Source organism: Homo sapiens, chromosome 12 (genome assembly GCF_000001405.40).
Source record: "Homo sapiens chromosome 12, GRCh38.p14 Primary Assembly".
NCBI classification, from domain to species: Eukaryota; Metazoa; Chordata; class Mammalia; order Primates; family Hominidae; genus Homo; species Homo sapiens.
Window position 1 is genome coordinate 51,295,392 of NC_000012.12, and position 14,926 is coordinate 51,310,317.

Genomic DNA, 14,926 nt, shown 5'->3' on the forward strand with positions numbered 1-14,926 from the left:
CAAAAAAAAAAAAAAAAAAAAATGAGCCGGGCGTGATGGCGGGCGCCTGTAGTCCCAGCTACTCAGGAGGCTGAGGCAGGAGAATGGCATGAACCCGGGAGGCGGAGCTTGCAGTGAGCCTAGATCGCGCCACTGCGCTCCAGCCTGGGCGACAGAGTGAGACTCCGTCTCAAAAAAAAAAAAAAAATATATATATATATATATATATATATATATATATATATATATATATATATATATTTAGTAAAAAGCAAAATAATTTATATAGGAGCATAGTACAAACAACAAACATCATCACGCACATGCACATAAGGGACAGGTCAGGATTCTGGACTGGAGATGAGGATGTTGAATACATTCACACACAGGACAAGCGAAGCAAAAAAGTCTTGGATGCTGCTCACCTTGACAGTCCCTTCACCACAAAGACTTTATTGGAATGTTGCTTCTCCAGTTTGCTCATCACCTCGTAGAGATTGTGGTTCAGCTAGAGCCAATAAGAAAGAAGGGGATGCTAGCCAACTGGGAACCCGAGAGTGGCATATCCCTTCTCCCCTCCCCTTCAGACAGCTTCCCAAAATAAAACCTCCCCCTTTCAATTCTGATGTGAATTCCTCTTCATCTGTCTAGCATTAGAGTCCAGGGTCCTGTCCCGCCACCCCCTCTTCCCTGTCTCTCTGTGTTCTAAGTTCTGCCTCTTCCATCAGACTGGCAGCTGTCTCAAGGCAGGGTCCATAACTGATGTCTGATTTGAGGTTCTAGCTTCTCACAGGTGATCCAGGGAATGAAAACTCATTTTTAGGCCAGGCGCCTAAAAATGTAAAACTCATTTTACAGGCTCATGCCTGTAATCCCAGCACTTTGGGAGGCCGAGGTGGGCGGATCACGAGGTCAGGAGATCGAGACCATCCTGGCTAACATGGTGAAACCCTGTCTCTACTAAAAATACAAAAAAATTAGCTGGGCGTGGTGGTGGGCACCTGTAGTCCCAGCTACTCGGGAGGCTGAGGCAGGAGAATGGCGTGAACCTGGGAGGCAGAGCTTGCAGTGAGCAGAGATTGCGCCACTGCACTCCAGCCTAGGTGCCAGAGCAAGACTCCGTCTCAAAAAAAAAAAAACCAAAAAACCTCATTTTTAATATTAACTAGGCAAATCATACTTTAGCCAAATAAACTATGGAGAGTAGTATGTATAGCTGTTTGTGAATATAACTAATATAAATGTTGTAGTAGCAAAGAATCTTGGAATCCCAGGACTAGAAAAGACTTCATAAATTATGTTATATGGCTGCCTGTCACTGACAGGATTAGTCTTATTTGAGACCAACCACCTGAGAAACTGACTTGTCCTTAAACACTGCCCTCTCCAGTCCCCAGCAACAATAGATAGATATTTCACAATGGGGTTCCCCATTTTAATTTTTCCTTCTATAGGCCTAACCTCCTTTATTCATGCTAAAGCTCAAATTTGGACACACTTACTCAGTTGTTAAGGGAGATGAAGAGGGCCCTCGGATAGTGTATATATGTGTTTCAATACAGTTAAGTACACAATCAAGTGCTCTTATTTCATCATGAGAGAAAAGCCAAAATCTGTGGTGCCAATACGGATATTTAAAGAAATCATGTAAGTCAAGGCTACCTTCATATTTACTAGAAAACACACCTAGGAGCCTCAATTGGCCAGACACCTCTCACCTTGCTCATTTCCCTGTAGAAGACATCCCTCAAGTTGGAAATGTTTTGGAAGATGGTCACATAGCAGCCAATACGACTATTAGGAAGCAAAACCACAAACACATACGAGTAAGGCATGGGAAAGGAGTTCTTTGTTTGAAATACAAAGTAGGACTTAAGCCAAAACCAGCCACCAAGGCTCCTAAATGAAAGCCATCCCGCTGGGCACAGTGGCTCACGCCTGTAATCCCAGCACTTTGGGAGGCCAAGGTGGGCGTATCATGAAGTCAGGAGATCAAGACCATCCTGGCTAACATGGTAAAACCCGTCTCTACTAAAAAAAAAAAAAATTAGCCGGGCGTGGTGGCATGAGCCTGTAGTCCCAGCTACTCAGGAGGCTGAGGCAAAAGAGTCGCTTGAACCTGGTAGGCAGAGGTTGCAGTGAGCCGAGATCGTGCCACTGCACTCCAGCCTGGGCGACAGAGCGAGACTCTATTTTAAAAAATAAAAAAAGAAAGCCATCCCACATCCCACACTCAGGATGTTCTGGGATCTGGATTCGTCAGAGCTGGGCCAGGAACACACGTGATTCTTAGGAGCAGGAAGGCCAGGGGAGACAATATCAGCTCAGGCTGACACCAAAGTTTAACAGTTTCATGGAGTTATCTGATTTGGGCTCTTGAAGGGCTGAGGAGACATAAAAGGGCTTTGAATAATTTTTTAAAGGGCTATATAAATATAAGGCTATCTAATTATAACTATTACAGTAAGTAATTATTCTTTCCCTTTATGCAATACAGGATGACTTCTGCGCCTGTATGTACATTAATGGAATTCTCCTGTAAGTGAATCAAGGAGGTATACTTTTAAAGAAACTGTATTAAATTTCATTTCTAGGCCAGGCACGGTGGCTCATGCCTGTAATCCCAGCACTTTGGGAGGCTGGGGCAGGTAGATCACCTGAGGTCAGGAGTTTGAGACCAGCCTGTCCAACAGGGTGAAACCTGTCAAAAAATACAAAAATGGCCAGGCACGGTGGCTCACGCGTGTAATCCCAGCACTTTGGGAGGCTGAGGTAGGCGGATCACAAGGTCAGGAGATTGAGACCATCCTGGCCAACATGGTGAAACCCCATCTCTACTAAAATACAAAAACTTAGCTGGACTTAGTGGCACGCGCCTGTAGTCCCAGCTACTTGGGAGGCTGAGGCAGGAGAATCGCTTGAATCCGGGAGGTGGAGGTTGCAGCGAGCCGAGATTGTGCCACTGCACTCCAGCCTGGCAACAGAGTGAGACTCTGTCTCAAAACAAAACAAACAAACAAACAAAAACAAAAATTAGTCAGGTGTGGTGGCACGTGCCTGTAGTCCCAGCTACTCAGGAAGCTGAGGTGGGAGAATTGCTTGAACCCGGGAGGCATAGGTTACAGTGAGCCACACTCCAGCCTGGGTGACAGAATGAGACCCTGTCTCAAAATAAATAAATTAATTAATTAATAAAATAAAATAAAAAATAAAATTTCAATTTCATTTTAATTAGGAGTCACATAATGTTTTAGAATACATGTGTTCATTAAAAAGGCTCCATCCTATGTACACTAATAAGTGACAATATAAAATATTCTGACCATAATTCTATTAATGCATCTCTTGTACAATAAAAAGAAAAAAGGATACAAATGGAGTTTCTGCTTAGATTTCTCTTTAAATGTGGAAAATCTGGCTGGGCATGGTGGCTCACGCCTGTAATCCCAGAACTTTGGGAGGCCAAGGCAGGGGGATCACTTGAAGCCAGGAGTTCGAGACCAGCCTGGGCAACATGGTGAAACCCCATCTCTACTAAAAATACAAAAAAAAATTAGCCAGGCATGGTGGCACATGCCTGTAATCCCAGGTACTCGGGTGGCTGAAGCACAACAATCACTTGAACTAGGGAGGTGGAGGTTGCAGTGAGCTGAGATTGAGTGCTACTGCACTCTAGCCTGGGTGACAGAGTGAGACCCTGTCTCGAAAAAAAAAAAAAGGGGGCGGGGCAGTGTGGGAATTTAAATCTAAAACACTTTTATCTACTTACTGTCAAGGCACACAAGGTGCCTTGTGTGAAGCAAAGGCACCTTTTCTGAATTTCAGTCATTACCTATTATAAAGAATAGGCAGCTCCTCTAGTAGTTCTTGGTTCAGATCTTCAAACACAGTCTGGGCTTTGTTGAACTCTTCCTCTGCCTAGGTGGTAAAAGAGACAAGACAATCTCCCTCAATTCTGAACCCAGTACTACAGCATGCCTCCTTCATCCTCTGCATTTTTTTAGGCACTAGGCTTTTTAGGAGCCATCCCTCTTCTTCCCCTGACCATGCCCTCCCCAGCCTCAAGACTCTGACTATCCTTACAGCATCAGTGTCAGAAGAAACAGATTTCCTTTAGGACACTGGATGCTGAATTTATAATTTCCTATACCCATGTTGGCCCAGCCACCTGCTACCACCATGGGGAGAAGGAGAACAGGAAGGGTTTACCAGTTTTTGTTGTTGTTTTTGTTTTACCTTGGCAGTCTTGGCCTCATCTTTCTTCTTGGCATTCTGCACTGCCTCCAGGTGGTGTCGGGCACTGTCATAGTCCACGAGTTTCCGACCCCGCTTGGCAATTCTCTCCTGACCCAGGGTAATGAGAAAGGGTGTGGATACTCACTTTTTAGTGGCCAGGATGTAGGTAACAGAATACCAAACAGAGAGCAAGATTCTTGCATCCTACTATCAAATTTCACTTTCGTTGTTTTTTGCTTTTGTTTTTTTTGAGACAGGGTCTTGCTCTGTTGCCCAGGCTGGAGTGCAGTTGTGCGATCTCAGCTCACTGTAACCTCTGCCTCCCAGATTCAAGCAATTTTTGTGCTTCGGCCTCCCAGGTAGCTGGAATTATAGGCATGTGCACCAAGCCCGGCTAATTTTTGCATTTTTAGTAGAGATGGGGTTTTGCCATCTTAGCCAGGCTGGTCTCGAACTCCTGGGCTCATGTGATATGCCCACCTCGGCCTCCCAAAGTGCTGGGATTACAGGCAGGAGCAACCGCACCTGGCCCAAATTTCACTTTCTAATAGGGTTTTGCGCCCATGGGGTCTCCCTCAGTATCTGGGAAGAATGGGGGAGTCTCAGAGGGAGATAGAGTCCTACAGAGCATGTGGAAATCTGTATTAATTATATATATGTAATAGATATATAATTAAATACATATATATATTTCCACCTCCACCTCCCGCTGTATTAAATTTTAATATTTCCTATGAACCCATTATAAACTGGTTCAGCCTCCAGGAGAAATGGCCTTGAGAATCACATGAAAGTGAAAGTCTGGATTTTTGGGAATTAGTCCCAAATCTGCCATTCATAGCCTGTGGCCAGTGGCAAGGCACATCTCTTTTGGAGCCTCAGTAGCCCCATCTCCCCTTATACAACTGTTATTTGAAAGAGTGAATGCTGAATACAAAGTGCTTTGAAAGCTCTAAAACACAATAAAAGCTATAAATTACTATGACCACTGAGAGAAAGTCTACTCAGCCTTATCCAAACTATAAATTATACCAGTGAGAAGCAAACTATGTCTTTGAACCGTTTCATTCTCTCAGTCACAGAATTTGAAAAGATCTTAGCAATTATCTGGTCCAATTTCCCATACAATACCATGAGGCTTCTCTATAACATCCAAGATAAGAAGTAGTTTGACTTCTGTTTGCACAAAGAACAGACAACTCACTATCTTTGAGTCTATTTCATTTCATTTTTGGAAAGCTTTAACTATTAGGAACTTAAGTCAGCCTCCTTCTAACTTCTTCCTCTGAATCAGCACGGTGCTTGACAGAGTAGGTGTTTAATAAATACTAGAGCCGGGTGCAGTGGCTCACGCCTGCAATCCCAGCACTTTGGGAGGCCGTGGGCGGATCACCTGATGTCAGGAGTTTGAGACCAGCCTGGACAACACAGAGAAACCCTGTCTCCACTAAAAATACAAAAATTAGCTGGGCTTGGTGACGCATGCCTGTAATCCCAGCTACTCGGGAGGCTGAGGCGGGAGAATCCCTAGAACCCGGGAGGCGGGGGTTGCAGTGAGCCAAGACTGCGCCATTGCACTCCACCCTGGGCAACAGAGCAAGACTCCATCTCAAAAAAAAGAAAACAAAAACAAAAACAAAAAAAAACTAGCTGAATGAATAGATGAATTCTAATTCTGCTTTCTGGAACAGAAAGCAGAACAGTTTAGAATAGGTTGAATTCCTATTTTACCTAACAGACTTTCAAATATTTGAAGATAACTATTTGATTGCTCCATGTTTCCTCTTCTATACAATAAACATCTTTAGTGCCATCAGCTGTTTCTCACAGCTAAAAGGGATGCCTCTAACTTGGATCTAATTCGAAATCAGCCCAAATATAGCTTACTGAAATCTAAGTTTATTTTATTTATTTACTTTTTTTGAGACACCAGCCTCTGTCACCCAGGCTGGCGCACAGTGGCATGATCTTGGCTCACTGCAACCTCTCCCTCCCCAGCTGAAGTGATCCTTCACCTCAGTCTCCTAGGGTGGCTGGGACTACAGACACGCACCACCACATGACTATTTTTTTTTGTATTTTTTGTAGAGATGGGATTTTGCCATGTTGCCCAGGCTGGTCCCGAACTCCTGGGCTCAAGTGATTCTCTTGCATCGGCCTCCCAAAGTACTGGGATTACAGGTGTGAGCCACTGCACCCAGCCTTGAAATCTAAGTTTAAACATAAACTTCACACTACTTCCAACCTTCTATCCTAACCTCTTGTCTAACCCTCAACCTTAATCTTTCTCCTAACTTACCCAAACTTCATTCTTAATCGTGAGTTCTAATTCTACTTATAATGCTTAACCCAATATGTTCTCTAACCTGGATGGGTCATCCACAACCCAGCCTTGATTCTGTACATTGAGTACCTTAATTTCACTGAACTGGGCAACATAGATTTCCATGGTCCTTACAGCCTGGTCAGCCAGTTTCTCCTCGTAGTCTTCCCAAAGGAGATCATTATTCTGTAGGATAGAGTCAGAGGCTGGTGAAGGCTCCACTTCCCAACAACAACTGCCTACCAGGGAAATACCCAAATTCTCCCTGCAAAAACCTTTTTTGTAGCACCGTATTTAGAATACCATGTTGGATTCTGGGGACTAGTCAGAGGAAGAAAAGAGACAGCCCCTACCCCAAGGAACTGCTCTATGGGAGTCTGAACATACATTCAGAGATTAAGAACAGGGCACAAGGTCAAAGCCTTGGACTCCAGAGCTTAGATGGGAAAGTTTAAGAGTGTATAACTGCATGAAGTTTGTTTTAAAAAACAACCAATCTTTAGGAGGTAAAACTTCCCATAATGTTTTAAAGAGGAGAAGAGGGTCAAAATTAGAGGGATCCACAGATTAGGGAAAACTTGTTTTTACCTTAACAGTTGTAGCTTCTTCCTACCACCCAGTGACTGAGGCTACACAAATGCACAGTGTGAACTGGCTCCTTTGTTTTCCTATTTTCTTGGATAGAGAAGCTAAGCTGAGGTTGAGATGCAAACAGGAGTAAGTGCCAATAAGTTGTAAAACTCAAGCCACTCTTACCCATACGATGGCCTTCAGCTCCTCATGACCGTCCCACTCGCTGCTGTAGATCTCCTGCAGGGTTTCTGACACTCTTTTTGAACTTTCATGCATCACTGAAAGGAGAGAATTCAGTCCCACCATCATGTTTCCCCAACAGTAGTTGGTGTAATCACATGGGTGACAAATCAGTGGTTCCAATTCAGAAGGACAAACTCAGAAGGTTTAGGTTATATAAGTGAGGAAAGCTGGATGGGGCTGAAAGGAAAAGTCACTCTTCCTCAGCCCACAAAATTCCAGGAGTCAAGAGTAGTCAAATGATAAAATGACAAAAACCTGGGGGTATGGCTATTGTTTTCCACCCCAAACCTCCTAGTAGCTGTATAAATGCCCTCTGGATTCTCCCATGCTGCATTGCCCACCTTTGACTGCACTAAGGAAGTTCTTCAGGTCCTTGTACAGCTTGTGGCCTTCTGCCTGAAAGAGAAAAGTACATTTGGTGACTAAAGAGATTAATATTTCAAAAGATGCTCCAGAGGTCAAAGTCAAAAAGTAGGTTAAGAGCAGAAATCACACCTGGAATTTCTCTAAATATTCACAATTGTTATAAGTCAGCCTTTACTTTCTTTACCAACCTGTTGTAGGTGGTCTCTTTTGTGTTAGTTTTTAAGATGGGTGCTTGCTAAAGCTCCCATTACACTGGCGTCTTCCTTTCAGTGAACAAGAGCCTATACCCAAGTTCCACTGTTGAAAGGTAAGTGTTCTCCATGTAACACTATCTATGCAATTCTCTGGCTTGCACCCTCCTCTCTGGGTAAAGTGCTACCATTTTCTGCAGACACCAGGCCTTCTTCTTTCTCTGAACCCTCACACAGACATTCCTCTCCTCCCCAATATCCTTCTCTGACTTGTCTCACTTTACCCTTCCCTTCCATCAGTCACCTTTTATACTACTCCAAGGAGCCTCATCATTGCTTCTCCTGTTCCACCCCGAATGTCTTCATCTATAGCTCTATCTATCCCTGCTTCCATCTTTGCTCCTGTGTCTGAAATCTCATTTTTTTAGGCTAGGAACCCCAAGTTCAGACAAGGGCTCCTCCTCCCTCTAAAAAAGGAGAGGAAGGTATTATTTAGACTTGGAAGTTCAAATCTCAATCTGGTAGATGAACTGCTTTTGTTATAACTCTGACAAATGTTCATTTAGCCTCTGCTTCCCAATACTTCCAGAAACTGGAAACTAATGTCTTGCCTGAGACAGTATCACTTGATTTTAAACTAGCTCTGTTAAAACTTTTTCTGGCTGGGCGTGGCAGTTCACACTTATAATCCCAGCACTTCGGGAGGCCAAGGCTGGCGGATCACTTGAGGACAGGAGTTCGAGACCAGCCTGGTCAAAATGGTGAAACCCTGTCTTTAGTAAAAATACAAATGTTAGCTGGGTGTGGTGGCGCACACCTGTAGTCCCAGCTACGCAGGAGGCTGAGGTAGAAGGATCGCTTGAACCTGGGAGGCGAAGACTGCAGTGAGCTGAGATCGGATCACGCCACTGTACTCCAGCCTCGGTGACAGAGCAAGACTCCATCTCAAAACAAACAAACAAACTTTTTCCTATTAGTCTTGGGTTGGCCTTCTGTACTCATAGAGTAGATCTAATTTCTCTTCCACACATGCTTGAAGACAACTTGCATGTGCCCTTGACCAAGCCTTTCTCACAGGTTTCCTCAATTGTTCCTTATGGTGTTTAGGCCCTCTTCCCATTTTGGTCTCCTTCCTATGTGTAAACTCATTTTGAAGAGTTGGTTGGGAATTTAAGGCCAGACATCTGACGTTCTGGAACCTGACTTCAGGACTGTGGACTGTAGGGATGGACTGAGAGGTGCAGCCCACTTCAAGGGAACTCTAGGGAGCCAGCCTACAGATCAGAACAGACCAGTTCAGGGGATGTTGTACTTGAAAGCCAAGCTGCATTATTCAGTACACCATAAAATACTTGTTGTGAATTTGTTCATTTGTTAATTGCTGTATTCATTACTTGATAGACTATTGATGATACCAAAAGTGTAAAAAACTGGCCAGGCGCAGTGGCTCACGCCTGTAATCCCAGCACTTAGGGAGGCCGAGGCGGGCGGATCACGAGGTCAGGAGATCAAGGCCATCCTGGCTAACACGGTGAAAGCCCATCTCTACTAAAAATACAAAAAAATTAGCTGGGTGTGGTGGCGGGCACCTGTAGTCCCAGCTACTCAGGAGGCTGAGGCAGGAGAATGGGCATGAACCCAGGAGGCAGAACTTGCAGTGAGCTGAGATCACGCCACCGTACTCCAGGCTGGGCGACAGAGCCAGACTCCGTCTCAAAACAAAACAAAAAACAAAAGTATAAAAAAGTATGGGGCCAGGCACGGTGGCTCACGCCTGTAATCCCAGCACTTTGGGAGGCCAAGGCAGGTGGATCACCCGAGGTCAGGAGTTTGAGACCAGCCTGACCAACATGGTGAAACCCCATCTCTACTAAATATAAAAAATTAGCAGGGTGTGGCGGCAGGCACCTGTAATCCCAGCTGCTTGGCAGGCTTAGGCAGGAGAATCGCTTGAACCCAGGAGGCAGAGGTGGCAGTGAGCCGAGAGCAAAACTCCATCTCAAAAATAAATAAATAAATAAAAATAAAAAATTATGGGAAAGGCTGGGCGCAGTGGCTCACGCCTGTAATCCTAGCAGTTTGGGATGCCAAGGCAGGAGGATCACGAGGTCAGGAGCTCTAGACCAGCCTGACCAATGTGGTGAAACCCTGTCCCTACTAAAAATACAAAAATTAGCCAGGCATGGTGGCACGCACCTGTAATCTCAGCTACTCAGGAGGCTGAGGCAGGAGAATCACTTGAACCCAGGAGGCAGAGGTTGCAGTGAGCCGAGATCGCACCACTGTACTCCACCCTGGGCAACAGAATGAAACTCCATCTCAAAAAAAAAAAAAATGAGAAAAAAAGGAAAATTCAGAAAATTCTATCTAGTGACAAAATTTTTCCTGTGGAAATCTTTGGGGAAAGGTCACTATTTACTTAATTTTAGCAGCAGAAAATTTAGGTCTACTTGGTCAAATCAAAGAAAACTGGACTAGTTATTTCATCCATTTTTTTTGCCTCCAGAGCTCACTGTTTTCTTTCTTTTTTTTTTTTTTTTTTTTTTTTTGAGATGGAGTCTCGCTCTGTCGCCCAGGCTGGAGTGCAGTGGCGTGATCTTGGCTCACTGCAACCTCCGCCTCCTGGGTTCAAGCGACAATTCTCCTGCCTCAGCCTCCTGCATAGCTAGGACTACAGGTGTGTGCCACCACGCCTGGCTAATTTTTTGTATTTTTAGTAGAGACAGGGTTTCACTGTGTTAGCCAGGATGGTCTCGATCTCCTGGCCTCGTGATCTGCCCACCTCGGCCTCCCAAAGTGCTGGGATTACAGGTGTGAGCCACTGTGCTGGGTCTCAGAGCTCACTTCTAAGCTAGTCCAAACTTTTGATCAAACTTCAGATCAAAAGTCCCTCTCAAGGGGCTGAATGTCAGTTTGAAGGGACATGAGGACACAGTCTTAAAGGAGTGAAAGGCACTGTCAGACAGGTACAGAACTGTGATTGTGTGCTGTGTTACAGCAAATGAGGATTAAGAGAACATCATATAAACAATCAAGGAAGTAGGCCAGGCGAGGTAGCTCAAATCTGTAATCCTAGCATTTTGGGAGGTTGAGGTAGGCAGATCACTTGAGGTCAGGAGTTCAAGACCAGCCTGGCCAACATGGTGAAAGTCCGTCTCCACTAAAGATACAAAAATTAGCCAGGTGTGGTGGTGGGTGCCAGTAATCCCAACTACTCGGGAGGCTGAGGCAGGAGAATCACTTGCACCCGGAAGGTGGAGGCTGCAGTGAGCTGCAATTGCGCCATTGCACTGCAGCCTGGGCGACACAGCAGACTCTGTCTAAAAATCAAAACCAATCAAGGAAGTGTCAGATGCTACAGAGACGTTAGAATGCAGGAAGAATTGGTAAAATTCACTGGATTTGGTAATGGGTCACTGGTGACCATGAGAAAGCACTTTCAATAGCATATTGGAGACAGATTCAGTCAGTTAACAAAATTCAGAAACACTCAGCATCTACCAGAAAGGATATCTCACTTCCTCCTTGCTTTTTCATTTATAGAAAAAAGCTTAGATAGCCTAACATGTTAAATGTATACAACATCTTTTAAATGTGGATAAGGGAGGTAGGTAGAGGTTTGAGAATTTTGAAAAGGTGATAATCAAGATTTTAAAGAGCCTTGAAAAAGTTTTGGGGATTATAAAAATGAACAAGGCTTGGCCGGGCACAGTGATGCACGCCTGTAATCCTAGCACTTTGGGAGGCCGAGGCGGGCAGATTGTGAGGTCAAGAGATCGAGACCAGACTGGCCAACATGGTGAAACCCTGTCTCTACTAAAAACACAAAAATTAGCTGGGTGTGGTGGCACACGCCTGTAATACCAGCTACTTGGGAGGCTGAGGCAGGAGAATGGCTTGAACCCGGGAGGTGGAGGTTACAGTGAGCTGAGATCGCGACACCGTACTCTAGCCTGGGCGACAGAGTGAGACTCTGACTCAAAAAAAAAAAAAAAAAATTAACAAGACTTTTAAATTCTTTCTTGAAGGAGAAAAAAGGACTCAATTTTTTACTTCACCATGAAAATTTTATTTCAAAAATAAATACAATAAAGTAATAAAAACTGTTAAATTACCTTGCACAGGCTGGGAGCGGTGGCTCACCCACTATAATCCCACCACTTTGGGAGGCCGAGGCAGGTAGATCACCTGAGGTCAGGAGTTCAAGACCAGCCTGGCCAACATGGTGAAACCCCATCTCTACTAAAAATACAAAAATTAGCTGGGTGTGGTAGTATACGCCTGTAATCCCAGCTACTTAGGAGGCTGAGGCAGGAGAATCGCTTGAACCCGGGGGCACAGAGGTTGCAGTGAGCTGGGATTACACCACTGCACTCCAACCTGGGCGACAAGAGAGAAACTCCGTCTCAAAAAAAAAAAAAATTACCTTGCACAATTTGTACAAATAAAGTTCCTAATTTTTTCCCATTAGTTATCATATAACCTGAAAAATCAGATGAGTAATCAAGGCTACCATGCATAAATGCACAGTGTTGAAAACTAGGGGGTACTCTATCACAGCCCAGAAAATGAATGCCTTCTGCTTTCCACTGCAGCTCACAAAAGCCCCGCTCCATTTCTGTGTTTTAGAATGAAGCCTTTTAGTTACAAAGTTCTCCTTTATGCTCTTGCTCTTTCTTTTGCGAAGATGAAGTATGAGTGTGAGAGTGAGTGTGTGTGTGTGTTGGTGGGGGTAGTGGTATGGAGTGGGGAAGGAGAGAGAAGACAGGTCAGCAACAGGTATCATTTTCTTTCTCTGACCTATCTGTCCCCCCCTGGAATATATCCAGGCTGAATAATCCCAACATCTTTCTCCTTTCCTGACAGATGTGACTCTCATAGTCTTGGGTTCTCGCTTGTCTGGGAGTCAAGAAACTTGACTTTACCACCAACTAGCAAGTTACTCCACTTCTCTGCCTTCCATTTCTTCATCTATAAATGCAGGGTAAGCCAGTTCTAGCTCTAAATCTTATGACTTTATCACTTCTGCTCTCTGAATCCTTGCCGAATTCTTGGCATTGCCATAAAGAGTCTGAGTCAGTCCTTCCCACCCATTATACAAACAGTCCCAACCCTCAGTTAATGAACCACTCACACCAGAAGCTTGTCCTGAGCAGTCAGGAGGACAGAGCTAGGTCTTAAGAGACTGGGGTACTGAGGATGGAGAAAGTTCTTGTCCTGGGGTTCCCTACTTTCTGGAGAAAAATTGGCTCAGACACTCAGCAAAACAAGTGTAAATAGCATGCCCAAGTGTTGAAGTGATCAAGTGTTGAAAGTGCTTGGTTTAATGTAGATCTAGGAGGGAAATACGAAGCTAGATTATTAGATTTGAGTTTAAAGGTAATGAATTGGAAGCAGCTGTCACTACCAAAAATAACAGGTTAAAGTGTTGCTTGAGGAAAATAATCCTTCCTATGTAATACACTGAAGAGAAGGAAAAGCAGGAAGCAAGTAGAGCCTCAGAGAAAAATTACCTATAGAAGAAATGTGATCAGGGCTGGGTGCAGTGGCTCATGCCTGTAATCCGAGCACTTTGGGAAGCCGAGGTGGGTAGATCACTTGAGGTCAGGAGTTTGAGACCAGCCTGGCCAACATGGTGAAACCCCGTCTCTACTAAAAATACAAAACAACAACAAAAACAAAAAAGAAAAGAAATGTGATCAGGAATGTGGGCGAATGGCAAGACTTTGAAATCAGGCTAGGAAGTTTGGTATTGATAGGATAAGCTATTAATAAAAAGTTTACCTGCAAGCTGACTGTGGGTGAGGGATAGGGCACATGACCAACCCGTTCAACTTCTGGAACACTTCACTCACACCTGTAATCCCAGCACTCAAGGAGTCAGAGGCAGGAGGATTGCTTGAGCCTAGGAGTTTGAGACCAGCCTGGGCAACATAGTGAGACCTCGTCTTCACAAAAAGAAAAAAAATCCTTGACCTTGTCCTTTTTCCTCCTGTGTGTCTTTGCCACCCCAGGTCCCCAGGTCAGACGTGACTGTATTGTCACTGTCTTCCTCCATAAACTAAGAGCCTTGAGGGCAGGCAGGTTGTCTCATTCATGCTGAAGTCCCAGCACCAAACACAGTTCCTGGCACACAGCAGGTGCTCATAAAATGTTTGTTAAATGTATTTACCAAAAAGAGAATTTCAAAAGCATGTTCAATCAGCACTTATTATAGGTGTATCATTCTCTCAGTCAAGAAGTTTTTCCTTATTTTTTTTTTTAATAGAGACAAGGTCTCACTATGTTGCCCAGGCTGGTCTTGAACCCCTGGCCCTTCCGCTTCAGCCTCCCAAAGTGTTGGGATGACAGGCATGAGCTGCTGCACCCAGCTAGAAGCTTTTCCTTATTCCCAACCTAACTCCATTTCATTTCTCAAACGTATTTTCCCCGCTTAAGTGATGTTTAAATGGTGGGCTTCCACAGGGAATTCTGAGGGGATTGTCCCATCAGATCTTGTTCTTCCTGATGGCGCTTCTTCTTCTCTTACCTTTTCTACCTACACATCTGCTCTTAGAGAGAGGACAAAGGGACAGAATGGGCCAAGAATCAGAAACCTTCCACAGTGGGTGTTAACTTACTGATTTTTCTTCTTTTCAACCTGGAGTTGGAAATAGAACAGTAAGAAGAGTTGAGAAGAGGCCCAGAGAGGCCTCCTAGTGAGGCACAGTGAAAAAAGCTGAGTTTAAGTCTAAATCCTGGCCCTGCAACTTATATGCTGTTACTTTACTATTAACATCACACAAAAAAGGAGACAACCAGATTTTATGTGTCTCCTGATGGAAGAATACAATAACACCTACTAAGTATTCTTGCCATCAAAACAAAAACCTGAATCTCATCAAGCCTCTAAGTCTATCCATTTATAGAAAATATGGAAGACATAGGAACATATTAGACAATATCATGGGAATTCAATCAGCAAAATATACACTGTAGGAAATTGCAGGACAAACAACCTAGTATCATTAACAAA

At 44.2% G+C, this 14,926-nt stretch overlaps 1 protein-coding gene across 9 annotated transcripts in view; it reads right to left on the bottom strand.

The window, feature by feature from the left end:
* Positions 1-14,926, bottom strand: part of BIN2 (bridging integrator 2) — a 43,631-nt gene that overhangs the window by 14,354 nt on the left and 14,351 nt on the right. For 5 of the 9 annotated variants that reach the window (XR_001748746.2, NM_001290007.2, NM_001364779.1 and 2 more), the window contains exons 3-9: positions 7,696-7,750; positions 7,295-7,389; positions 6,629-6,724; positions 4,216-4,323; positions 3,812-3,897; positions 1,698-1,773; positions 405-487 (exon numbers count right to left, since the gene is read on the bottom strand). Coding sequence is in view for 8 of the 9 variants with exons in the window: in NM_001290007.2 (NP_001276936.1) it covers positions 405-487; positions 1,698-1,773; positions 3,812-3,897; positions 4,216-4,323; positions 6,629-6,724; positions 7,295-7,389; positions 7,696-7,750 (599 nt within the window). In the remaining variant the exon portion in view is untranslated. Of the gene's footprint in view, positions 1-404; positions 488-1,697; positions 1,774-3,811; positions 3,898-4,215; positions 4,324-6,628; positions 7,390-7,695; positions 7,751-14,926 lie in introns of those variants that run through there. The other 4 variants (NM_001290008.2, NM_001290009.2, XM_047428968.1 and 1 more) reach the window with 4 other exon arrangements.